This window comes from Homo sapiens, chromosome 7, assembly GCF_000001405.40.
Source record: "Homo sapiens chromosome 7, GRCh38.p14 Primary Assembly".
NCBI classification, from domain to species: domain Eukaryota; kingdom Metazoa; phylum Chordata; class Mammalia; order Primates; family Hominidae; genus Homo; species Homo sapiens.
Genome location: NC_000007.14, coordinates 122,400,312 through 122,427,090, shown reverse-complemented (window position 1 = coordinate 122,427,090; position 26,779 = coordinate 122,400,312). Strand labels below are relative to the sequence as shown.

Genomic DNA, 26,779 nt, shown 5'->3' with positions numbered 1-26,779 from the left:
CCTTATTCGGAATTATTTCCTTGGCCATGATCTGTAACACTCTGAACAGCTCTTGCTAGAATCTTTCCTACTTCCTCTGAAGATGCATGGAAATCTCATTACAAGTGTTCAACACCTGTTTTCTAAAAGGTATCCAGAAGGATGTCAGTTTGCTCAGCTCACTTGACAGTGTGTCATGTACTTGTTGTTTTTTTACTTTTATATAGAATGGGATTCACAGATAAATGCAGTCTTGAAATAACAAGGCTTCTTCCTTTCGCAAGCAATTTTATAGAATTTGTCAATCTCCAGAGACTGAATTTGAAAGCAACTAACTGGTGACCTCTCATTTACTTACTAACAGGTGCCAACAGGTACACCAAGAGACATAGCAGCATGGCTTTCATGGCACCTTGTTAATCTGAGTAGGTTACATGTATGAAAAAGTCTTTTCCAATTGTACAAAACTAGAGTGATGAAAACTGACAGGTTTCTACCTCTGTATTTATCAACAGGGTTTATAAGTACCCAAAGACTGCACAGATGAAATAGTTTGGCAAATTAAGAAGGGTTCATTACTTGTAGGCCCTAGCTAAGTGACCATATAGTTTCAAGCAATAAATTAAAAGGCCTAATTGAAGCTTTTTAAAAGACACACATTTATATTTTAATTTCAAAGAGGAGCCCTTTAAAATATCCATGAGGCATCAATGCATGCACACACATTCACAGTGATTGGCAAATTTGTGATGTTAGAGCTGTAGAAATATTCAAAGTGGCACTAAGCCCAACCCTACTCTGTAAACCTGGTCTTTTACACTTGCCAATTGGGAGACTTTCTCTAAATCTTAGCATGCCCTAGAAGACCTTGATTATGTATCAAAGGAAACAAAGACATACATGCAGACATTGAGATCTTTTGACTCATTTCTCATCACCCAAGGCTGCAAATCTTTTCAAATGTTATATTTCATATTGTGGTTACTGTCTCCAAATATCTTCTCTTTCCTTCTCCTTCAATTGCCTTGCAGCTGGCAAGTCTCTGGAGTCCCTGTCCCCTGCCATTGCCCACTGAACAGACCATCTTCATCTTTGTGCCTTGCTGTGCTCTGCCTTGCCTGTATCCCCATTGTTCACAGGCAAACATTCTCCTTGAGTATGGAAAAAAGAGTTAAAGCAAGGGTCAGGCAGGAAATGAGAGTGGAGGCGTGTTGGTCCTCCTTTTATGAATAAAACAAATGACATGGAAAGAATGTATTAGGTAAGTACACTTAAAAAACAGGAAGGAATAGGCATGATACTAAAGATGCTATAGACTTTATGTGATTCAGTATTTGATTTTCAGTTTCTGAATTTGAATAATATTTAGAAAAAAATGGATACAATGTATATATAAAGAACAACACACCAGGGAGGGGACTATTCATCAGTTTCAGCTACTGAATGTGTATATGTGTATATACACATATATTGTGTATATGACATGGCTAAAGAACAGTCTTTTTTGAGACAGGGTCTCACTCTGTCACCTAGGCTGGAGTGCACTGGTGCAATCACAGCTCACCGTAGCCTCTGCCTCCCAGGTGGGCTCAAACGATCCTCCACCCTCAGCTTCCTGAGTAGCTTGGGACCACAGGCACACACCACCATGCCTGGATAATTTTTTTTTTTTTTTTTTTTTTTTTTGGTAGAGATAGGGTTTCGCCACGTTGCCCAGGCTGGTCTTGAACTCCTGAACCCAAGCAATCCACCCACCTCAGCCTCCCAATGTGCAGGGATTACAGGCATGAACCATGGCACCCAGCAAAGATCAATCTTTAAAAAAATGTATGGCTGAGTATGGTGGCTCACGAATGTAATCCCAGCACTTTGGGAGCCTGATAAAGATGGATCACTTGAGCTCAGGAATTCGAGATGAGCCTGAGCAACATAGTGAGACCCCGTCTGTATAAAAAGAAACTTAATTAGTTGGGCGTGGTGGTGCACTCCTCCAGCTACTTAGGAGGCTGAGGTGGGAGGATTGCTTGGGCCTGGGGCCTGGGGGTTCGAGGCTGCAGTGAGACATGATCACGCCACTGCACCCCAGCCTGGGTGACAGAGCAAGACCCTGTCCAAAAAAATAATTTTTTTAAAAAAAGCTATTACACAATTAGCTGGCAAAATTAACACTGGAAAAATTTTATGCTATCATTAAAATCCTATAACACAGTTATATCCAGAGCTATCCAGAGCAAAGTAAGTAGACAGCATAGAAAACTTTCTTCTCCCTCAAGCCTTCACAGTCTTTGCAGCCAGCAATGCTGTAGATATATTCGTCCCTGTGAGAGCTTTTCTTACTTCATAAACTTTGGGAGAGCCAAGGTCTCAATGAAAAGACAACTTTAATAAAACTCAAATTGGGCCGAATGTGTTTCCCGCCTCATAAATCATGTAAGAATAGAAGCCTGTGACAAATGATAAACCAAATACTAATTTTTGCTTGTGGGTTCTAGTAATCTATTCTCTGTAATTCCATCACTATCATCTCTTTAAGATCTTTAGAGAAGATTATGCCTCAATATTCCACCCCAAGATAGTCTTACAGAGTCACTGACTTTTACCTCACATGTATCTGACATTTTATGGCTCACCAGTCATGGGTCAGCACTTACTGTTGGCTTATGGAGACTGCTCAGTTTGGATTCAGCCCAGCTGTCATTGGTCTATACTCTAGTGGCCAATTCTCCTTTGTTCAACAGCTGGCCATAGGCTTACAATGAATTTACAGATGCGAAAGATAATCTAGGTAAAGTAGTTAATGTGACTGTGATGACAGAACAATTATTCCAAAGCACTATATTATTAGCATGGTTAATTCCGGGAGAATATTAACTGCAACTCTTACTTTAAATGGCAGGGTCATTAAATGAGTTGGTCCCAAAGGAAGCCATGGAATTAGGAGGCCACAGACCTATTGTTTTCAAACAAATGTGGCATTAGTATTTGTGTGGATTTTAAATACCTATCGGGAGGCTATACCATCCTGGATTAATTATTTTCATTTATATATAGGATTGCCCAAATGTGGACACTATCCTATCTGGCAATCAGTTCAGATTCTGCAGAAAAAGTCACCTTTTACCTGAAATGAGGTTTATATAAAAGTATAGCTTGATTTCAGGGAAAGGAGGAAATAATCAAAGTTTACGTAGGTCACCTTTGTTTTTTAACTTTGTTTTTCGTAACTACTGGTAGTTCTCGAAGTGCATTCCCTACACCAGCATCATGAGCATCACCTGGCAACTTGTTAGAAATGCAAATTCTTGGGATTCATCCAAGACCTACTGAATCAGAAATTCGGAATGATGCCAAGCAATTTGTGTTTTAGCAAGTCCTCCAGGTGATTCTGATGCATGCTTAAGCCAAGAAATGGAGATCTATACTGAAGGTACTCCATTCATTGATGAAAGCAGTACATAGTCCAACACTTGTGGAACCATAATATCATTTGGGTTTCAGTCAGATAAACCAGGAGAGAGTCAATGATTCCTCATTTTCTTTCATTAGTTGGCAGTGCCACATCTTAGCGATGTCACAGATAGTGGAGCAATTATAGGCCACTTGACCCTAAAGAACTGAAAAAGTAAGTTGGCTTTTGGGAACCACCTCACCCCCAGATTTTGAGGCAGTCTTCTTACAAAGTTGTATACTATCTCCTTTAGGGTACTGAGTCCAAAAGTTCCTTAGGTGCACCTAGCCACAAGTTCTAAAAACTGGCAGACAGATGGCAGGGACAGGAATGGGTTGTTTTTTTAATGGGCAAGGAAGTACCTAATTTCCCACTCTCTTATCTTGAAATAAGAAAGCCTATAAGTATTGAGATGTGGCCAGGATTGACCTCCTGGAGCCTACTTGCCCTAGACTTTGGCACCATGTAACTTACCACAGGTTGCTATGGCCAGAGCTGGAGGAAGGGTCAGAAAATCTAGATAAAAATTTAGACTTTCCAACTGAGTCATCAGTCTGTACTATGCAAAGAGGGAGGATGTTGATATCAGAGTTAAGATTCAAATTAGAGTAGACTGGGGATCCAGTAGAAATTCCCTGGCTAGCTAAGGTAGACTAAAGGGACTTATGGTTTATTTATTTATTTTTATTTTTATTTATTTATTTTGAGACGGAGTCTCACTCTGTCACCCAGACTGGGGTGCAGTGGCGCGATCTCGGCTCACTGCAACCTCTGCCTCCCAGGTTCAAGCAATTCTTCTGCCTCAGCCTCCCAAGTAGCTGGGATTACAGGCGTGTGCCACCACGCCAGGCTATTTTTTTTTTTTTTTTTTAATAGAGACGGGGTTTCACCATGTTGGCCAGGCTGGCCTCGAACTCCTAATATCAAGTGATCCACCCACCTCAGCTTCCCAAAGTGCTGGGATTACAGGCATGAGCCACCGTGCCTGGCCAGGGGATTATGGTTTATAAATGAACAGAAGGCATCTAACATTGATGAGTTACCTAAGATAGAGTATTTTCTGATCTCTGTAATTAGAACAATTTGTTTATGTGCCCAAAGCATTGTGTATATGTGTGTGAGAGTGTGTAATGTAATGTTGCTTTATATTTCTGCAGGGGGAACAGCTAGGGGATCAATCACTATCTCCTTTAGTGGGGAGAGGGAAAAGGAAGGATCCATTCCACCATTTCTTCAGCTGGGCCTAATGGTAGATAAGTTTTGCCAGCAAGCAGTCCACAAGAGTAGGCTGACAGTCCTTGTTACTGGCTGACATTTGGGGTTCCACGTAGAAGAAATTAGATGCTGTGCCTTTGGCCGTAATGTCCTTGTTCTTTACAGGCTCTCAAGGTAAAGCCTCGCTGTTTGGGCCTCACTTCAGAGAGTGCCCCAGGTGACTGCTTCCTTGTGCTCATATCCCTGCTATTGCCAAACTATAGTCCTTCCTTTCCCTTGTTTCACTAGATAGTAGATATTTTCCCATTTTCTCCCTTTTTCCACACCTCTTTTCTGATTTTCTGAAGTTATCCCTATAGTCCCTTATGAAGATTTTTGTGTTTCTCACCTCAGCCATCTCCTGAACGTCAGGACTTTTTCATTATCCATCTGATATATAGTCATTAGCTGGAGAGGGAAGAAGCAGAGGAGTGAGTGAATGCTTTTCTCTGAATGGGAGGGGGAAGAGGTGAAAGACTTCCACTTTGGACTGTTGCTAGCTTTCTAAACTCGAACACATACCCACCACAATAATTTCATTCTGAAAAACTCCATATGATATACACAGCAATTTAAAGCCTTCTTATTGATGCATCTTTGATCCTATTTCTTGCAAGCTAATAACCCTGTTCTTACATACTGCTTACATTTAATTCACTCTCTTTACAGACTTTATAACAGATCTTCTTTATGTTGACCAGAAATGGATTATAGGTTGCCATATTCTACCTTATAATCTGGTTAGAAAGAGATATATGTAAATTCTTTGAAGGCAGAAATAATATCTTTTTAATCATTGTATCCCCTCAGTGGCTAGCGAAGTACCTTACATGGAATAAAATGTTTGTTGAATCAAATTCAGGGCCACGGAATCTGAGGAGTTTAAAAACCAAAGAAGAAATGAATGCATATACAGGAATTATTTTTTCATGCTCCCTAGCTGATCATCATGGCCTAGATGCAAAGGAGGGAAGAAGATAGGGCAGTATTGGAATGGAATTATTTCCATAGTCCTTCAGTCTAACACCATCTTCAACACTATTTATTGTTTAGCTGCAAGTACAGATACAATCAGCTCATTAAATTTAAGATCATGGTGAGTGGAGGTGAGGACATTTAAAATCTCTCATCAAAATTAATTTGTGACAATTGTTACATAATATATACATAAATCATCATGTAGGGTTATTAGCAAATACTTTTTCATCAATTTAAAAAATTTTAAAGTTAAGGTCAAAGCATGACAAATTACTACATATCATATACGGATAAAAAGGAAGGTATCTCACTGGTCTTCTTCCCACATCCTGGTATAAGCTTCACCATGAGCATCACTGTGCATCCATCACGGGGACTTTGACAGGGAATAGCAGCAAGGGAGGCAGCCCAGTCCAGTGTGCCAGGAGATATGCCCCTTTCTAAGCCATGGAGTAGAATGAAACCCTACCAAAGCAAACAGTCGAGCTGTCTTTTTACATCTTTCCATCCTCCCTCCCCTTCCCCAGTAGGATCTCTTCTTAAATGTATGGAGGTATAATTAAAAATGAATTGTTTCAATGAGCCAAGGAGTGTTACAGAAAACCAAAAGTGTTCCAGAGCAAAGAAGAATCATAGCCAAGAACAATGCATTGAAATTCATCAAGCAACTTTGCTACTTTTGGCATGTTTGTTTTAAATGTCACTGTTTGAAATGTATTACAACAATCAGCAATTTGGTGTGAAGCTTGAAGGATGTAGAGCCATCTGTAATGCTTTGGAAATGTTACAAAATGAGTGAAAACAAACATTTTAAGGAAGAATTCTCAAATATTCCCAATGTTCGGCTTTTTAATGGGGCTATTGATAACCTTGTTATCTAATAGAATTATGACTGTAGAATGCATTAAACTTCTTGGCCTTAGCCAAATGGGTGAAACCAGAGACGGGATACACAGAGTACTTGATAAAAATGCATCTATTTAAAGTATTAGAGTGGCTATTATGTTCAAGTACAAAGTTTTGATCCTCAATAAATTTAATCTAGAAAGAATAAATGTTTTAGAATGTTTTTAAATTTCACTAGAACACAGGGTACTCTCAGAGTTTGTACTTAAGATAGTGTCACATGTAATAGCTGATTTTGAAAGATTCACATATAATAAGTTCTGAGGTTGGTTCTGTGATTCCTTTCTATTATTCCATACTTGTGGCTAAAGATGTGGAATGGGGGCATTTGTGTGTGATTTTTATTCAGAAAGTTGAAAATGAAAAAGAATTATAGTAATTCAAGTCATTGTAATATTATTTCTGTCTGTATGACATCAGAGGTAAGATTTTAATGTCATCTCAGCCAGCAACAAACTGTATAACCTCAGACACCTTCAACCTCTCCAAGACTCTGGAAATGGAGGATCATGATTATCTAATTTGCAGAATGCTTCTGAGGATTCAGAAGAGTATGCAGGATTTATTTCTCCTATATACTTCAGTGATTTAAAATAAGTTAAATATTCTAAACTGAAACAATATTGTGCATTGTAAAATGTGCAAACATGCAGAGTTAGGCAAAGATTCAAATAGTGCTAGTCCCTAGCACGGAAGTATGTAGGAGAAATAAATTTCTAATCTTTGATACATAAATAAATTTTATTTCCTTTTTCTTTATGAAAAACATGTTATACACATATATGAGTCCATTGAAATAATATAATGCAATATATAAGTGCAATATTTATGGGAGGCATAGATTGCCTCAGCCAGAAGGAATTTTAGAAATTATCTGGTTCAGTGCTTCTTAGCATCTGTTTGGTTTATAGACAACTTTGAGAATCTGATGAAAGATACGGTCTTTCTCCCCCACCCCAAAAATGCCTCTACATACAAAAATTAGTACATAATTTAAGGGGTTCAAGAACCCTCTGACTCCCAAACTTAATACTCTTCATCTAAAAATGGAGAAATTAAGAAAGATAAGTGATATGCTCTTGAGGCTTAAAAGTTATTTTGAAGACATTTTCTGACAAAGTTTTTGTTTCTGAAGAAAGCTTTTTCTTTAAGAATTTCAGAACTAAACATTTGTCAGTTATTTGAGAAGTGTTCTCAGACTACAGCTGCGTTTTATCGTGAGCATGCTCTCTTATCCACCCTTGATGTATTAGATACAGATGAGCTCTTTGCAATCGCATGCAAAATTAAAAATTTGGGGGTATTGATTGAATTTTTTAACATTCTTTTCCTCCCATAATTATTCTGCTGCATTCTCAGTAAACATTCATTAAATACCTGCCATGGTCCAAAGCCTGCACAAGATAACTATATGAATGAGACCCAGTTGCTGACTTTGATCTAGTACAGTTTAGCAACAGACTCATGAGCCTGTAATAGGGGAGCTCAGAGAAAGGAGCAACTCATTCAGACCCAGAACTCTGAGAAGGTCCAATTTTAAGGTAGCATTAAAGTAGAATCTTGAAGCAGAGTAGCAGTTTGTCAGGCAAAGATTCAGATAGCCTAACTCTGCATGTTTGTAGATTTTACAATGCACAATTTTTTTTAGTTTAGAATATTTAACTTATTTTAAATCACACTTATGTGGCAATGTAGTTAGTGCTAAAATATATGGGATGGTCCATTGAAGACCCATTACCTAACTTTATCAACCATACATCATCATTCTCTGAGCCATGAGGTCTCCAAACCTCAGAGTCATACTCCTCTCTGGCCTGCAAATTCTAGCCACTCAACAATGGCTCACAAATTCTGCCTTTGGAGTGTCTGTGCATCTTTCCCTTCTTTTCTATTCCTACTATCATCTTTCCATAGTTCACTGTTCTACTAAACCAGACCCTCAGGATCCATATCAGACACTTTCACCAATCCTTGTTGGAGGCAACCACCAAAATACATTTTCCTAAAATTAATTTATTCTGAGGCCCTGCTAAGAAACATTTGCCCCAAGTTATTCATAGGATATAGTCATCTAGTCTACTTATTATCTTACTTAAAGTCTCCCATAATCACCCATCATTCTTAGCACATTCTTACTCCAGCCAGGCAAGTACAAGAGCCCACGTGTTCAAGTCTCACCTTCACTGCTTTTTAGCTGTTGCATTTATCTTTTTGAGCATGTTTCCTTATCTGTGAGTTACATGAATAAAAAACAAAGCTGTTAGGAAAATGTGTGTGCTAACACGTGGGAAGCGCCCTGGCTTGTGCCTGACACATAATTGGCTCTCAAGAAAATGTAACTTTTTTTTTTTTTTTTGAGATGGAGTCTCCCTCTGTCACCCAGGCTGGAGCGCAATGGTGTGATATTGGCTCACTGCAACCTCTGCCTCCCAGGTTCAAGCGATTCTCCTGCCTCAGCCTCCTGAGTAGCTGAGATTACACGTGCCCACCACCGGGCCCAGCTAATTTTTGTATTTTTAGTAGAGATGGGGTTTCGCCATGTTGGCCAGGCTGGTTTCGAACTCCTGACCTCAGGTGATCTGCCCGCCTGAAACTGTACCATTTCTAATGGTTGTTATTACCACCTTCCTCCAAAATGCACCTCATCTGTGTCATACAGTATTTCTTCTCTAAAAATTCCTCCTCCTCTTCCCCAGGTCATTTGTTATTTCTAAGACCATGTTTCAGGCTTACCTTCCCCCGATGTCTCCCCTAGACCTGCTTTCAGCAGTCCTCCCTCACATTTCCTGCATCACCAATAGGTTTGCCTCATGTTGCTTCCAAACTTTTCCTAGGTGCCTTCTCTTCCTGACAAAATTAGAACAGCTAGAGCGGCCCCCAAATTAAGTAGGTTGTCATGCAAAGTCATGAGCCTCCTTGACTTCATGCTTCTTTGAGGATGTTGAAATGTTCATGAAACAGATGAAACATTTGATCATTCATGTCTATGGATCTTTTCAGTAGAGATTTTCTGGTTCTGAGTTGAGATTGGAAGTGTGTCTCATACTGCCTTCTACTTCCTACAGCCAACAACATTGTAGGCACACTTGACTATTTGGTGTTTCACACTGATTTTTCAAAAGAATTACTGTAATTTTTGAACCTTGTCACAGAGGAGCAATGGCTTTCCATTCTGTAGGGGAATATAGTAGGAAGTGTATATGGCTTGAGGGTTGAGGGATGTGAACCCCACATCAGTACATTGCACTGTGTCTGAGCTACAGTGAGTATATAATGAATATTTAATGAATGAGCACCGATCATAAGCAGTGTTTCACTGCATCATTGTACATCCTTTGGAATACGTTAGAACAGAGCAAATGAAAGTGTCTCCTCCAAATTTAAGGCTGAGGTTTTAGGAAGAAGTAAATCAAGGGAAAACTATTGTAGGAAAAAAAAATGCCCTTTAAGTTCCCCAGAAGAATCTCTTTTACTGAAAATTAGATTTTCTTTCCTCACAACCTCCTTGCTGAGCAAAGAGAAAGAGCCTATGAATCCCCGACAACATTTATCTTTAATGTCCTTATTGGGAACTGATCTTTACATTGTTTTGAAACAGTTTCATTACACAGGGCTTCTTTAATTTCTGCCAGCTTGTTGAATCTTAGAAAATAACTACTTTGCCTTCTCTGTAGCAGAATTTCAGGTAACTGCACTTAATCTTATTGTGGTCTCTCCTTTTTATACCAGTTCAGCTTACTGCAGAAAGAACCTTCAGCTTCAAAGAACACTTCTGCCTTCCTCCCCCACAACCCCCTCAGTTGGAAAGGTGGGGTGGGATGGTGGCTGGGAAATAGGGAGGAAATCAGTCAATTGCTAGCTGTCAGAGTTGTTTTAGGTGACTTTGTACTTCTTGAATTTAAGATCAACATGAACTATAGACATTTCAGGCCGGGAATTTAAACAGCAACAAAAAAGCATGGGTTTTGCTAATGCCAGGAATGAATCATGTGGTGAGAATGGTATTGTACTGATAATACAATACAGAGAGAAAGAAAAGACTGTGGTATCTGCTCTCTTTGTGTCGCTGACCTTGAGGAGAATTATAACTTGTTTGTTGCAGAAGTTGAGCATCTAATGTGCTGATGCACCTGTTCTTATATATTAAATGGCAAAGCACTTGCAGTTCCCTGTCATTGCTTTGTGGGTGAAATATTTCCTGCAATCTGGTGAACTGTTTTTTTTTTTTTGTCTAAATAATGTATTCATTTGTATTTCTTATTTCTCATTCTATTTCAACATTCTAGTCTCATCATTACGTCTTCAAATATGTTTGGCTTTTTATTTTCAAGGTAACATGATTATGATTTTTTTTCATATAGAGACCATGAACCAGGCATCTCCTGCTAGAAAGCTGGAAGAGATTCTTCATCTGGCAGAGCTCTGCATAGAAGTCTTACAGCAGAATGAAGAGCATCATGCAGAGGTGATGACCTGTTTTCACTGTAGTATAAAGCTATATGTAAGGCTTCACCATGGTTGTGGCTACACTGAATAAGTGGCCTGCCCATAGTCTTGATACATATCTGAACATTTAACGAATAAGCACCAACGATAAGCAGTGTTTCACTGCATCACTGTACATCCCATTGCACATTCACACATGAGAACATATGTGAATTTTCTAAAAACATAACTCCTATATATTACAAAGCAATTGTGTGTGTGTATAATTTCATGTTTATTCCTGACAACAAACACTGATGGGATCTGTGCCATGAGAAATTAGCTCATCAGTTATTGAAGAAGGGGGAAAGTTAATGACCACAAGAGGGCTTGCAGTGACCCTAAGGCAACTTTCAGAGCTATTCTGCAAGAAGATATTTTTATTTCCCAAACCAAGGGGTAATTTCCACTGGGCTTTTCTTTTTTTTTTTTTTTTTTTGGTTCTGTATTTGCTGTCTCGTTGGTAATAGCAAGACTGCAGTAACAAAGGAAAGAAATCTCACTCTATTTCTCTCATAATTCCATAAATAGTTTGCCTGCCTTTCATTGAGGGCAGTTAGTTAACACTGAGTGCATTTAGTTAACAGCAAGGGCTACAGAAAAGTCCTATAATTAATCAGCCTGCACTGCCTTCAGTCCAAATGTGTAACTGGTAAGAGGCAAAGACGGAACACAAACCCGTCTTACAATGCTGCATCACGTGCTTTTCCCCCTATGCCATGATTGCTTTGGTTTAGAAATGTAAGTTAACGTGGAAGGGGAAAATTTGTGACATACTATAAAACAAAACTTTAGTAGAAAACAATCATAAGCGTATGGTTGATAACTCTAGGCTTTCGCTCTCAACATTGAACTTTTCACTTTTTTGAATTAAGTTTTAATCAAACCTGTATTGTTTATAATTTTTTAAAGTTCTAATTACATATTAACATTCACTAAAGATCTAGAGTGGCTTTTCACCAAGCAAACTGCTCATTCTGAGACTTAAAATTCTCACTCTTTCTAATAGCCATGAGTTTGTTAACAAAAATGAAAGAGTTTTCTGACTTTGAGTTGGGTGGGGAGAATGTGTAGCATTAAATAAATATAATAAATGTCAGTGCCCTGACAGTGCTTTTATTCTTGAGGAAGCACATGAAATGAGCAAGAATAAAAATGACCAAATACATGTGAGTTTACAGAATTTTTGTATTTAATGAAGCCTAGTTCTAAAAAATCTAAGAAACTACAGGAACTACATTTTAAGCCAATTCATAGAAAAGAGTGCTCATGAATCCTTACTATAGGTAACTAAGATTTATTGTATCTGGTTATAAATATGATATCTGGTTATAAATATGATTATTCAAAACATCTGCTTTTAGCTCACACTGTGGAATCTAGTTTTTAGCTTGCATCTGTCATGTGTGAACTTGTTATGGATATTTTATTTTAAACTGAAGAAACAGCTGCTTCAATAATTTGAAATGAATTCCCAGGAGGTTCTTTTCTAGGCTGGTAACACAGCTATGTTACAATGAAAGTGATTATGTGATAAAATATATGTATGTTTTGTCTTTGTCTTTTGTTAAAAGGCATTATTGTCAGAGTGTTAGGATTTTTGAATTAAAAAATCTATTAATAATTGGATATTCAATTGCAGTATATATTTCAGCAAAACAGGTATATCTTTTATTCTCAAACATTTTACAAAAACTAAAAATTAAATGTTAATTATACTTCTTGCAATCACTAAAATGCTTGTCAAAGTATAATGTATCCAAACACAATTAAAATGTATATCTTATTTACTAATCCACAAAATAAAGTTGACTTTATTAAATAGAGATAATCATTATTCATAAATATCACTATACGATATACTGAAATATAGGACTATTATGATGACCTTTTTTAAAGATGTTTTGTAACACTATGGCAATTGTTCTACTCTGCAATGCTTCCAAATTCTTGGAAACCCTCAGGGAAGAGAGGTGAGTAAAATGATTTCCACTATTTTATTAGCATAGGATACCTCTTTTATGTGAATTTAAAATACAATCTACTCTGATTGTAGTCCATTTTAAAGCCAATTAGTCCTTTCTTTGAAATTACAGAATGTCTGTTTTTCTTTGAATGTGCTAATTTTTGTTATATTGTTTTGTGTATGTATATTATTAATAATTGCTTGCATAGTTACTGATGGCCATCTAAGTAAAACATGACTGAAGGGATGTTGATATTTGGTTTGTGTCTTTGGTTGTTTTTTGTCCTTTAAAAAACAAAGCAAAACAGAAAATCTCACGTTTTCTCTGAACAATATTGGGGAGTGAATTGGTCTGATTCCAGACTGACTTCCAGAGTGAATTGGTGGACTGCATTCTGCACTGATACTTATTTTGCTGGATGTTCAAGCTAGAGTTCCTTTGCTCCATGAAAGAGCACCTGGCTCAGCTCCCTTGGTGGAGGTTAATGTATCTGCCTCAAAGAGACCTTCAAGTGGCTCGCATGTCAGCTCCTTTTATTTTCATTCTCCCTCTCTCCACAGTGGCAGTTTACTTTACAGGGCTAAGAGGTTGTTTCTATCCTTCAACAATTTCTCAGTTAAGCAGGTTTCATGTCCTTCAGATCTTTGACAGTACCTTACCAGGCAGTTTTCCCTTCTCTTTGAAGGCCTCTCAACCTCTCTTCTCAGGCTTTTCTGCAGAATTCCTGTGTTTTCTCCTTAGAAAGATAGTTTAAGTTCCTTTCCAGAAAATCTTTAAGGCTGTCTCCACATTTCAGTGACCAGACCATCTCTGACCAGATATTTTAGGCAAACTGATCTGACAACTCTCCATCTAAAAGCCACTTTCTTTGACAGAGCTAGGAGGTGTCAGATGCCTGCTGAAAAAGCCATAGTCCCTCACCAGTATGCCCCCCTCCACACACACCATTTTGCTGATAAGAAAACAGACCCAAGAAAGTTGAGCAACTCACCACAGATGCACAGCTAGTGAGTGATTGGGTGAAGACTCAGGCCAGGCTCCAGACCTGGACATTTTCCAATAAACCACATTGCTGTTTTGCAATTTAAGTAGAATTGCAGGAGTGATTGTCCTGCCTTAGTTCTGCTGACAGATTTGAACCACAGCATCACAACAGGGATGTAGATGCATAGCGTGGTGATCACAATGCAAACCTGGTGATGTCCCTTTCCATTCTGTCATTCTCTTCCTTCCTTGTACTCTGGTATATCTCCAAGGACTCTGCCTAAGGGGGATGGATGGAGTGCGGAGAATATCAGTAGAAGGGCTGAGAGGGAGGGATCATGAAAAATATGAGCACGACTCAAGTCGTTACTTGGTTGCTTATTATTACAGCAAAATATTGACTTAAGATCCTTAAAATATTTTAAATACGATGTCATCCACCAAATCCATTCCACCGTGGGCAAGAAGGTTGTTTGGCAGTAATTTGGTATTTGCAATGCAGACAGCTCTCAGTTCACTGCAAATGGTTGATTCATTTGCTGGGCTGCTTCAACAAGAGCCTGGACAGTGAGAGTTCAGTGTGAACACACGTATTTGTGCATATGTGCATTCCCCTAAATATCAGTATCTGAACCAAATTATGCTTCTGGTTGGATTCTAATGTAAAGAGAAAGGGTATTTGATTTTTTTAATTTATTTTTGTTTGTGTGTACCCTTATTCCTCTCCAACTGGCATGCATGCCTAAGGAATATACTAAAGTGTGGTTATGCAAAATAATTGACCATGAACAAAATCGATTTCCTGTCGACCAACTAGATTACAATAGTCTCAGCAGTTGAAATGACCTCAATTACACATTGTTGATATCTGGATAGTCAGTGAGATAAATCTTTTTTTAGGATGGGTTCAAATTTAAAGTTATATTAGCCTCTGACCAACAAATGTCCCTCATCTTGGAAGAGGATGACCATCAAGTAGCTTGCATACAGCTCAGGTGTAGAAGTAGAATTCCCATTTCAGCAGTGACTGTCAAAACCAATTGCATGAGCATGAATGCTCTACCAAAAATGTTTGTTCATTATTTACTGATTTATAATATATATGAATGAGGATAATACTTTACATTCTCATGTTTTGGAGCATTTTCAGCTCATCATCTCACTTGGTTATTGCTATATCTATGTTTATGAACCTGATTATCAGTGAATCACGGAAGTTGTAAAAAACTTATGATTAGTTAGACAATAGGTGTCACCTGTTCATTCGTCTGTCCCTCAAGAGAACTTAAATATTTTTAGAATATGGCCCTCAGAATCATGTCGCTGTGTATGTGAGTATGTGTGTATGTGTGTGGCAGGGGCAGGGGATACTATAGACACTGGATTGTCTCCAGAACCTTTAGGATTATCAACAAAGTACAGAATTGCAAACTAATCTTGTCTTGGGGAATAAATAGGCACAAAATGTATTTCAAAGTCAGACTCACTGTTTTTGCTCGTTTAGGCAGCCATCCTCCTTTTTTGTTTTAAGTTATAAATTTTTATTATATTTTGAGGGCAAAAGTAATAAGGCCAGGTGCGGTGGCTCACACCTGTAATCCCAGCACTTTGGGAGGCTGAGGCGGGTGGATTACCTGAAGTCAGGAGTTCAAGGTCAGCCTGGCGAACATGGCGAAACCCCATCTCTACTAAAAATACAAAATTAGCTGGGCATGGTGGTGGGCACCTGTAATCCCAGATACTTGGGAGGCTGAGGCATTAGAATCACTTGAACCTGGGAGGCAGAGGTTGCAGTGAGCCGAGATTGTGCCGCTGCACTCCAGCCTGGGCGACAGAGCAAGAGTCCACCTCAAAAAAAAAAAAAAAGTAATCAAAGGCCTCAGGTTTTAATAAAAAGTAGAAAAGATATAAAGAAATCAAGCCATAAATCAAAAGATACTAACAGTGGTCTGATCTGCTGATGGTAGATGGATGGATGGATGGATGGATGGAGAGAGAGAGAGATGATAGGCAGTGTGCCATATGCCTCCCTTAAGAAGACACTATATGTGTAAGAACTTGGTCTCTAGGCTCCAGCTGACTTAGATTCAATCATTGCTTTGTTATCTACCAACTGTATGACTTTGGGCAAGTTATTTAATCTCTGTTTGCTAACCTATAAAGTAAGGATAATTGTACAATCTACCTGAAATAATTGTTTGGGGGACTAAGTAAGATGATGTTTATAAAACCTTTAGAACAGTACTTGGCACATAAACACCATTTAATTTGTGTTGGACATTATTTTTAAAACACATAAACTCACATAAGATTTATATGAATTTCAACACATATTTGTAATTACTGATTGCGGTAGTCAACACATATTTGTAATTACTGATTGCGGTAGTCAATTATTACATTTGCACAGCAATAAACTTTTATATTTATTTGATTTTCACAGCAACACTGGGAGAGGTTAGGGCAAGTATTGTTATTGCCTATTTGCAGATAAATAAATGAGAATCCACCCAGTGAACTGATTTGACCGTTATCACTCAAGTATCATCACTAAGCTCAAAAGCTCAGTACTCTGCTTCTAGGTTCAGGGTTCATTTTTACCTGCCACTGTTGTAAACTATATTTACTACAAAAAAAAAAAAAAAAGGCTTTCCAAGTATTGTCAGCTTGCCACATATTTGTATTGCTTATTTGTATTATTAATCCTGTATAAGTTTTGTTTTTGTTTTTGTTTTTTGTTTTTTTTAAGACAGTGTCTCGCTCTGTCACCCAGGCTGGAGTGCAGTGGCGCGATCTTGGCTTACTGCAACCTTCACCTCCCGGGTTCAAGCGATTCTCCTATCTCAGCCTCCTGAGTAGCTGGGGTTACAGGTGCACACCACCACCGCCAGCTAATTTTTGTATTTTTAGTAGAGACGGGGTTTCCCCATGTTGGCCAGGCTGGTCTCGAGCTCCTGACCTCAGGTAATCTGCCCTCCTCTGCCTCCCAAAGTGCTGGAATTACACTTGTGAGCCACCGCACCCTGCCAGTAGTAAGTTTTTTAAGCTGAAGGACTTAAAATCAAGGTTTGTTTTATATTTCCCTCTTAAGCAAATTAAACATTGCCTTCTGCCTCTGCCATCTCATTTACACTAATTAGTGGCTTAGCATTAAAGCCAAAAGAACTTTAACCCAGATAATCATGACTTCTGTTTAGTACCCTGTAGATGGATGCATTTCTGAGGGAGGTTTTCTCCTCCCTGGTGGAGACCTTGATGCTGTTGAATCTCAGCCACCCCACAGGAAGTAATACCCTAGGGAGGGAATTATACAGCCCCTCATCTTCCTACCAACCCAGGGTGGGATGGCAAGAAAGAGAAGGGGACAGGTTGTAGACAAGACCCTGTATTCTCAAGATAACTGCAACTGTTGCTTTCATTTTTCAAAGACAGTGATTGCTTAAAGCGTTATTTAGCCATCATTAGGAGAAGAGGCATTCATCACAGATTGGCTTACATTCATTAAGAATAGCATCATCAGGAGTACAACTTGAGATATAAATATATACTTCTGCAAAACAATGAAATTTTCCAGTTGATGGCAAAATCTTGCCAACCTGAAGCTGTTTTGAAAAAAAAAAAGTGTATTCCATTTTATTTCATTCCTCATCCTGGCTCTGTCTTCCAAGTTAACTTTAAGAAGACCTTTAGGAATTTTTCTCAGAGTCCTGAAACAACCTGAACTAACATGACTGTTATTTTCTTAATTTTAACCTTTTGCAAAGATATTGGCTGTGAACTGGAAGTGAGATTTTGAAAATGTCTCTTTGCAGGACTGCATTTTTCTGTGCTGCTCTACTCAGAGCTGAGAATCTCAGGTTCTTCTTTTGTCACCACTATAGCTACAAAAGATAGGCGCAAGATCTGTGTAATGAAATCATGTATACTTTTTTGTGTGTTTTTACGTTAGGTCATATACCCATTTTATCACATATTTAACCAAAAAATATTCAAAGGTAATATATGCAAAAAACAGTATGCTCAATTTTCATCATGCATACCATTCCCAACCAGTTTTCACATTCATATATTGGTCACAGCATTGAGCCAGGCATTAAAATGTCCCCAACTCTCAAATCTATTATTTTATACTACACTGTTCTTCCTTAAGTCAGCCTTTACCATCTGCTAATTAATTACATGGCAATCTTTTTAGTTACTGATTATTATTTTATATCTATTATTTTAAGGCCATATTTACTATAAATGTGAAACATGAAATTTTTATAAACATGGAAAGTTCTTAAGAAAATAGTGTGTCAAAATTTTGCAATCCCCTTTTTTGTGGTTTGTATTTTCCTGTTATAATCCAATTCATATTTGAAGCCAGGTGCCGTGGCTTACACCAGTAATCTCAGCACTCTGAGAGGCCAAGGCCGGCAGATCACTTGAGGCCAGGAGTTGGAGACCAGCCTGGCCAACATAGCAAAACCCCGTTTCTCCTAAAAATACAAAAACATTAGCTGGGCATGGTGGCATACATCTGTGGTCCCAGCTACTTGGGTGGCTGAGGGATGAGAATTGCTTGAAGCTGGGAGGCAGAGGTCGCAGTAAGCTGAGATCAACCCACTGCACTCCAGCCCAAGTGACAGAGTGAGGCCCTGTCTCAAAAAAAATAAATGAAATGATGACTGGCTGCTGAATGGAGAATGGATGTGAGCAAACACTTTTCATAAAGAGCAATTTGCAATGTGTGAAGACTCTAAAATGCATACCCATTAATCCAGTAATTATTAGAAGTTTATCCTAAAGAAATAATCAGTGCTATATTCAAAGATATTTATGTAAAAATATTTACTACGCTATCATTGAGAATAGCAAAAAATTGAAAACAGCCATTTTAATAGGGTAATTGGTAAAAAAAAAAAAATAACAGTATATCCTTATAGTAGAAGATTATGCTATTATATTAAAAGTGAAATCACAGGAAAATCTTATAAAGTGTAATACCAAATGTTTTAATGTTTCTATTCACAGAAAAAAAAAGAAATATTGGAAGTAAATACACCAAAAAATTCAGAATAGACTTGTTTAAATTATGAGATACAAATAATTTTTCTTTTTTGTTTTATATATGTTCTAAATGTTGTAAACTAATCATGTATTTCTTTTATAAAGGAATAAATGTCCTTGTACATTTTAATTCTATTTTCTATTTCATTCCTCAGTGCCAAATCTATGATTTTAATGTGTACCTATAAAATTTTTCTCAGGTTAAAAACTATTATATTTTGTTTATCATACCTGTTTGTGAAACTAAGACATGTTATAAAATATTTTCAACTGGCACAGTACTTGTGCATGTTTCTAAAAAGTAATCTACTTTTCTCCTTTATGTTTTTATCCTTTTGTAGGCATTTGCCTGGTGGCCTGATTTATTGGCTGAACATGCAGAGAAATTTTGGGCTTTATTTACAGTGGATATGGACACTGCACTAGAGGCTCAACCGCAAGACTCCTGGGATAGTTTTCCTCTTTTCCAACTGCTTAATAATTTCCTCCGAAATGACAGTGAGCATTTGCGTTTTCTTTCATATGTGAAATGGGGAGGGGTGGGAGAATGTTGAATGTGAATGTATTTTTACTGTGCCCTCACACCGGCCTGACAAGAGTTCGCATGGGTAACATTTAGGTTTGCTCAGCCTGCCCGATTATGTCAGGCCAGAGACTAAGGGAGCCCGGGGAGACTCCCACACTCCAGTGGGCTCTGAAGGTCTTCTCATTTGCATCCTCCTACCTTCACTGAAGTCTGATAACCTAGGCACCCTTCTTTATGAACTTTATTGTACCTTATGAATCTGAAAATCTTCAAAGGCTGGCATTTCTAAAGTACTTGAGAACATTTACATCTCTGAAAGACCTTAATAATTCATTATTGTAGAAATCATGTTATGTTAAGGCTCCTGCTTAAGTCCATTGCGGTAATATTGCTGGCCTGAGAGTTGGTTCATTTGTACAGATGATAGGGAGATATTGCTGTGTGGTATGACTTGCTCATTCAACATTTAGAAATTAAGGAGAATGTAAAAGCTCTCTATTGATACTTTTATTCTCAATTTAATAATAAATTTTACAGTCATTCTGGTAGATGGTCTTCCAGCAAACAAAACAAACTGTTTTTTATCAAGATTTTAACATACGGATTCCTAGGCCTTTCCTGTGATGCTTTTTTAAGTTTCATTTAGTCTCAAGTTTGGTTACCACTGACAACCTTTGTTTCAGCACTTGAAGTGACCATGGAGTCACTAATTCCCTACTGAATAAAATTCTTGTCATGATGCACCAAGATGAACTCTGCCTCCTCCTAACCTCTGGTTCTGACCCATTCTCTTTGATCAATGCAACAGTTGTCTTCTGTCATGTATTTTCTTCTGCTACTCTTTATTCCTATATAAAACAACTCTGTCTCACGATAGGGTTTTCGTGCCCATTGCCATTCTCATCACCTTACCCTGAATAGACCTCACTCCATTTCTCAGTGTTCTTCTGGAGTGTGGTGCTCAGAAGAACACAGTGCTCACCATGTGACCTGAATAACCCAGACCCAAATGAGAGGTGCTTTCCTTCCTTCTTCCCTGTCTTCCTGCAGCCCAAGTCTGCTCTGACTCTCCAAGGAACTTCTTCACACTGTTAATACATTTGGAACTTTTTTTATTATACTTTATTTAGAACGTTTTATATGTTAAAACTGCACATGTTTTTGCTGCTCTCATCCCAGAAGGCCACTGCTATATCTTTCTGGTTGTAAACCTAAACTCATGTTTTTGTAGTTGTCTTTGTTTAAAGAAAAATCTTTATTGGTTTTGTTCATGGCTCTAGTCTAGTCTTTCTTAACTTCCTTTGGTTGTTCACCTCTTTGAGTCTGTGATAAAACTGGTGGGGGGGAAATCACATAGACATGAAATCATTTGTAATATTGTACTTTCCATGGACATCCTAAATTTAGGGCACCAGGTTAAAAACCTCTGTTCTAGTAAGGGAGGCATCATGTTAGAGTAATTAACAACATGAGCTTTGGTGCTAGACAGATTCACGTCTCTCTGTCACTTACTACTTGACCTTTGACAATAGCTTAACCTCTCCAAACTCTAGGTGCTATATCTATAAAAGAAGGAAAATAATAGCACCAACAGTGTCATTGTCAGTGAGCATTAAATAAGATGATAACTCACATATAACACAATAAATACTGTAGATTTTGTTAGTCTTATTCATTCTCCTATCCAATTTCATTTCATTTCCAAAGATGCTATTATAAGCTTACAATTCCTACCTTAGATTCAACCATAAGGCCTGCTCTCAGTGGTTGTTAATAAAACCACATGCAATTATCCATATGCGAATCATTCATTCTGCAAATTATCCTAAGCCGGTTTTTTGTTTGTTTTGTTTGAGACAGAGCTTGTTCCATCGCCCAGGCTGGAGTGCAGTGACACTCCCAGTGGCACTTCCAGTGGCCTCCGAAGTTCAAGCGATTCTCATGCCTCAGCCTCCCAAGTAGCTGGGATTACAGGCGTGCACCACCACACCCAGCTAATTTTTATATTTTTGGTAGAGACGGGGTTCCACCATGTTCACCAGACTGGTCTCAAAATCCTGACCTCAAGTGATCCACCTGTCTCAGCCTCCCAAAGTGCTGGGATTACACATGTGAGCCACTGCACCTGGCCCTCAGCCAATTTTTAAGTTCCAGTTTGTTTCCTTCCTGCCAGCTAGCCAACGTGGAATGACTGTCTTCCTTTCCCAATCTTCTGTCATCATTCATTTTCTGCTATGAAATTACAGTCAGGTTTTTAATATTATCTTAAGACAAATGTATAACAGTAAACCTGCTGCCAAAAATAAGTATATATATTAGGCATTAAGTCCCCTAAATGAGAATAAGTAAGTAAGGTATTTTTGTTTTGTTTTGTTTTTTTGTTTTTTGTTTTTGAGACTTTTGTTTGTTTGTTTTGTTTTGTTTTGTTTTGAGATGCAGTCTCACTCTGTTGCCCAGGCTGGAGTGCAATGACGCGATCTCGGCTCACTGCAAGCTCTGCCTCCACAGGCGCCCGCCACCACACACCTGGCTAATTTTTTTGTATTTTTAGTAGAGACTGGGTTTCACCGTGCTAGCCAGGGATGGTCTCGATCTCCTGACCTCCTGATCCCCCCACCTCGGCCTCCCAAAGTGCTGGGATTACAGGCATGAGCCACCGCGCCCGGCCATATGTAAGATATTTTTTAACACTGTTTTCTCTATTTGAATGAAAACTCAAGAATCAAACATACTTAGATGTATTTTGGGGGTTATTTTAAAATGAGGCATTATTCATCAGAGAAATGCAAATCAAAACCACAATGAGATACCATCTCACACCAGTTAGAATAGTAATCATTAAAAAGTCAAGAAACAACAGGTGCTGGAGAGGATGTGGAGAAATAGGAACACCTTTCCACTGTTGGCGGGACTGTAAACTAGTTCAACCATTGTGGAAGTCAGTGTGGTGATTCCTCAGGGACCTAGAACTAGAAATACTATTTGACCCAGCAATCGCATTACTGGGTATATACCCAAAGAATTAGAAATCATGCTGCTATAAAGACACATGCACACGTATGTTTATTGCGGCACTATTCACAATAGCAAAGACTTGGAACCAACCCAAATGTCCAACAATGATAGACTGGATTAAGAAATGTGGCCCATATACACCATGGAATACTATGCAGCCTTAAAAAATGATGAGTTCATGTCCTTTGTAGGGACATGGATGAAGCTGGAAACCATCATTCTCAGCAAACTGTTGCAAGGACAAAAAAACCAAACACCGTATATTCTCACTGATAGGTGGGAATTGAACAATGAGAACACATGAACACAGGAAGGGGAACATCCCACACTGGGGCCTGTTATGGGGTGGGGAGAGGGGGGAGGGATAGCATTAGGAGATATACCTGATGTTAAATGACGAGTTAATGGGTGCAGCACATCAGCATGGCACGTGTATACATATGTTACTAACCTGCACATTGTGCACATGTACCCTAAAACTTTAAGTATAATAAAAAAAACAAGGCATTATTAATGTTCACCATCAAGCAATTAGGTAAGATGATGAATATTTTAACTTATTCAAAATATTGTAATTTATTTTATAGAGAAAACAAAATATGTTGTGGATTTCTTGGAAGTTTTGTTGGAGAACTTCTACTACAATGAATTAATATTTTTTGATGATATTCCATTCATCTACAATGGAATATTCATTCATCTACAATGAATGGAATTACTTATCTACAATGAATTACTTATCTACAATGAATGGAATATCATTAATTCCAATGAATTAATATTTTTTCATATTTATTTTTAAGAAGAGGTTTTTCAATGCAAGTGTAAATTTGTGGGGTAATAAATTAAAACTACATAATTTTCATAATTCTAACTATAAAATGTAATTTTCAATCATGTTTACAAATATTTAATTCACATATTAAATATGTTTTATATTTCTCTCCTGATTTAACTATTTCTATACATTGACTACATATCATCTTGTGTTATTTTGTTGTACCGTACTCAGTCAAAACAGAGAAGCATTTAGTACTAATCTCTTTTGAGCACTCAGTTTTGAGGGTAAGTCTAGGTCTTGGCTTTTATTTTATGGTGATTTGCAGATTTTAGAAAACCTCAATTATTTCTGAGAAAAACAGCTCCCCCATGTAGAGAGGTAAACAGAAAAGTTCCCCAGTGTCATATTTTCCTTTTGGTACTGAGAGTGTGGTGTGATCTGGGGAACTGAAATAAAATGCAGTGACTTTTACCCCAAACTCACAAGTTTCCATCCAAAATCAATACCACTGAGTAGCTGATAAAACATAATTCTTCCAGCTGTTAATATCACCCTTGGTGATACTGAAGACCATTGTTAATAATTGTGTGTTTGTTTTATTACATTCCTTAGATACTGAGTTATTTAGTGAATTCAATTCAAATGTTTAATGTCAACCTGCAGCTGCCCCCAAATTGTCCTTTTGGAAAACTATGGGAAAATATTGAACTTCTATTCTTTTAGTACCCCTTGAAAGAAAAAGAAATTCTTACATTGCGGCCATGGCATTACAGTTTTTACCATGTTGACCCAATTAGAGTTATTGTCTAAATTCGAAATAATTACAACTTTAACTAGCCAAAGGTAATAGGACAGAGAGCTCTGAATGTCCAATATTAGGAAGGGAGTTAATTTGTTGAAAAACAGTGCTTGCTTACATCGGCATCAGTCTGTGTGTGTGTGCGTTACACAAAATAGGCTGCTAATTATATTTAGATTTTTAAACAGTTTGTGATTTATTACTAATAATGTTGCATATTTATGTTTGCTTTCCCAAAATTTAAAATTACTAAGACCTTTCAAACTAATGGAGACATTAGTTAGAATTTGTACTTAATTAGTGGCTTGAAAACTTTATAGCTGAGTTGGGGGGTGGTTCATGAATAATTCAGTCGTCCTAATTGGTTTCTTATCTTCCTTAGATTAAAATTTGTATGCTTCGATGTTTAAAAATAGTTTTTTATCTTTTGGAGTATGGAAGGGATCTTAAACAAAACTCTTCATTTTCTAGCTGTGGAAACCTAATGCCTAGAGGCAGGAACTCGGGCGGGGGGCTTGACAGCAGGGAGTTAAGGACAGAGATGAGTCAGAGCCTGAGTACTGGGTCTCCAGTTCAGTCTCATTTCATTGTATAAAAAGCAGATTCTGTGGGCATTTATAAAATAATATCATCTTTTTAAGGAAGACAAGAGAGTCCTTGAACTTTTATTTTTTAATGAGGAAATATTTATAAGGGCATTGTGTTGTCGGGGGCAGAGGAAAGGAGTTGGTTAAAGAGTACAGAAAGGATCAGATAAAGGTATGTGTGGTCTCAGCATGTATGTTAGGAACCATCTGTGACAAGACTTCTAGAGACTGAACTAATTAGTGAGGGAAGGTTCAAGACAGCAAATTCGGTTTCTATTTTAAGGAGAAAAAAATAAAAAAACATCTGTCTGGGGTGTGTGCCTTTCCTTACAGTTAGCCATGATTAGGGAAAGTCATAGCTTGGAGAACCCTTGGAGATGAAATGTGGAGAACCCTTGGAGATGAAATGCGGTTTTCCTCAAGGGAAGAGCACCAGCTGCACCACAATTTTAGCAACTGTCCCCAATGTCCCACCCCTCACAGACTCACTCACTGACTCCCAGAGCAAAACTGATGATGAAAACAAAGTCAGCCTCCATTTCTGGCCAAAAAAGACCAAGCTCTCACTTCGCTCTCTACCCTGCCTTCATCTACCCCAATCTACTCCCCTACTAAAGAGGTAATTTAATGGGCAATCAGTTTAAATGGTATCTAAGGAAACACTTTTGAAAGAGAGATGTATTCAAATTGAGGGAAGATAAATGTTTTCATAATGAAGTAATTGGCACGATGGTTCAATGATACTGAGTGACTATAAAGCTAGTACAAATAGATTCTACCCTTGCACACTATTTCCATAGTTGTTCTGTCAATAATAGATAAGGCAAGTGACCACTTCTGACAAATGAAAGCCATCTGCAAATGGCACAAATCATTTCTTTCAGCACTACTGAAACGCAAACCCTTGGAGCTAGTCACCTTTTAATCTGTGGATATGCTAGCAAGTGGCAAATGACCATTCTATTGGGAACTGGTTCCCAACTGAAAAATACCACGGTGCTGCTTCTTTAATTAACAGCCTTTTCACATTGCTAGCACATTAAAGTCATCCCAAAGAACACCCGTGCTTATATAATCAATGTCACAGCATCTCTGCCTAAACGAATAATAAATGTTCCTGCTCTACACTAAGTGAAAACCTATTCTCGAAGACTTTCACCTTCGTAAAGATGGGCTCATAAAAATCGAAAAAGGAAAAATTGGAATGTGGTCTCATGAGGATAAAAAGGCTAGTGTTAATAATTAACAAGGAGAGTGAAGTGGAGTCAAATTAGCCATAATAGAGCCCAGAGTGACTGGCAAAGTCACCTCTCATTATCAAAAAACTCATTAAGAAATGAAGAGGTGGAAATCCTGCTGGGTTATTCTCACACTTAGGCTGTATCAGAGATTATTTTTCAGATTTCTTTCAAATGAAGGACTGTTAGGTCACCATATTGTATATTAGGTTAATCTTCAAGCTTTGAAATATGGAAGGCTGACACCTGCGTGTTATTCTCTTTCAAGTGCTTAAATGAGCTGTTCATCTGAAATTCACGAATTGGTGTTTATAGATATATCTGGATATACATAAACCAGGGACAATGCAGAAAGGGTATAACATCTAGATTGCAGCAAATCTGTGCATGCCAGATTAGTTTTATAAGTATGCACTTTACAAATGATGAAATAAGGGCCAAAATGTGAGAATGTATTTAACTCTAATCCCCAGAGTTGATTGGATTCAAAATGGTGTGTCAGAATTTGTTTTACTGACCAGTATGGTAAATGAAATATAAAAGCAAGGAGTCACTACCTTTTTCCCCTCAGTTGAATTCCACAGTACTGTTCTAATTTCTTTTTTTTCTTTTTTTGTTTAGTTTTGTTTTGTTTTTGTTTTTGTTTTGTTTTTTGAGATGGAGTTTCGCTCTTATTGCCCAGGCTGGAGTGCAATGGAGTGATCTTGGCTGACCACAACCTCCGCCTCCCAGATTCAAGCAATTCTCCTGCCTCAGCCTCCCAAGTAGCTGGGATTACAG

The 26,779-nt window shown here is 38.0% G+C and overlaps 1 protein-coding gene across 29 annotated transcripts in view; it reads left to right on the top strand.

Moving 5' to 3' along the window:
* The window catches only part of CADPS2 (calcium dependent secretion activator 2), a 568,050-nt gene that overhangs the window by 459,370 nt on the left and 81,901 nt on the right, over window positions 1–26,779 (top strand). For 16 of the 29 annotated variants that reach the window (XM_005250702.6, XM_047421031.1, XM_005250706.6 and 13 more), the window contains 3 exons: window positions 10,927–11,030; window positions 13,015–13,023; window positions 19,395–19,551. In XM_005250702.6, the coding sequence (XP_005250759.1) occupies window positions 10,927–11,030; window positions 13,015–13,023; window positions 19,395–19,551 (270 nt within the window). The remainder of the gene's footprint in view (window positions 1–10,926; window positions 11,031–13,014; window positions 13,024–19,394; window positions 19,552–26,779) is intronic. The other 13 variants (NM_001363398.2, NM_001009571.4, XM_047421032.1 and 10 more) reach the window with 1 other exon arrangement.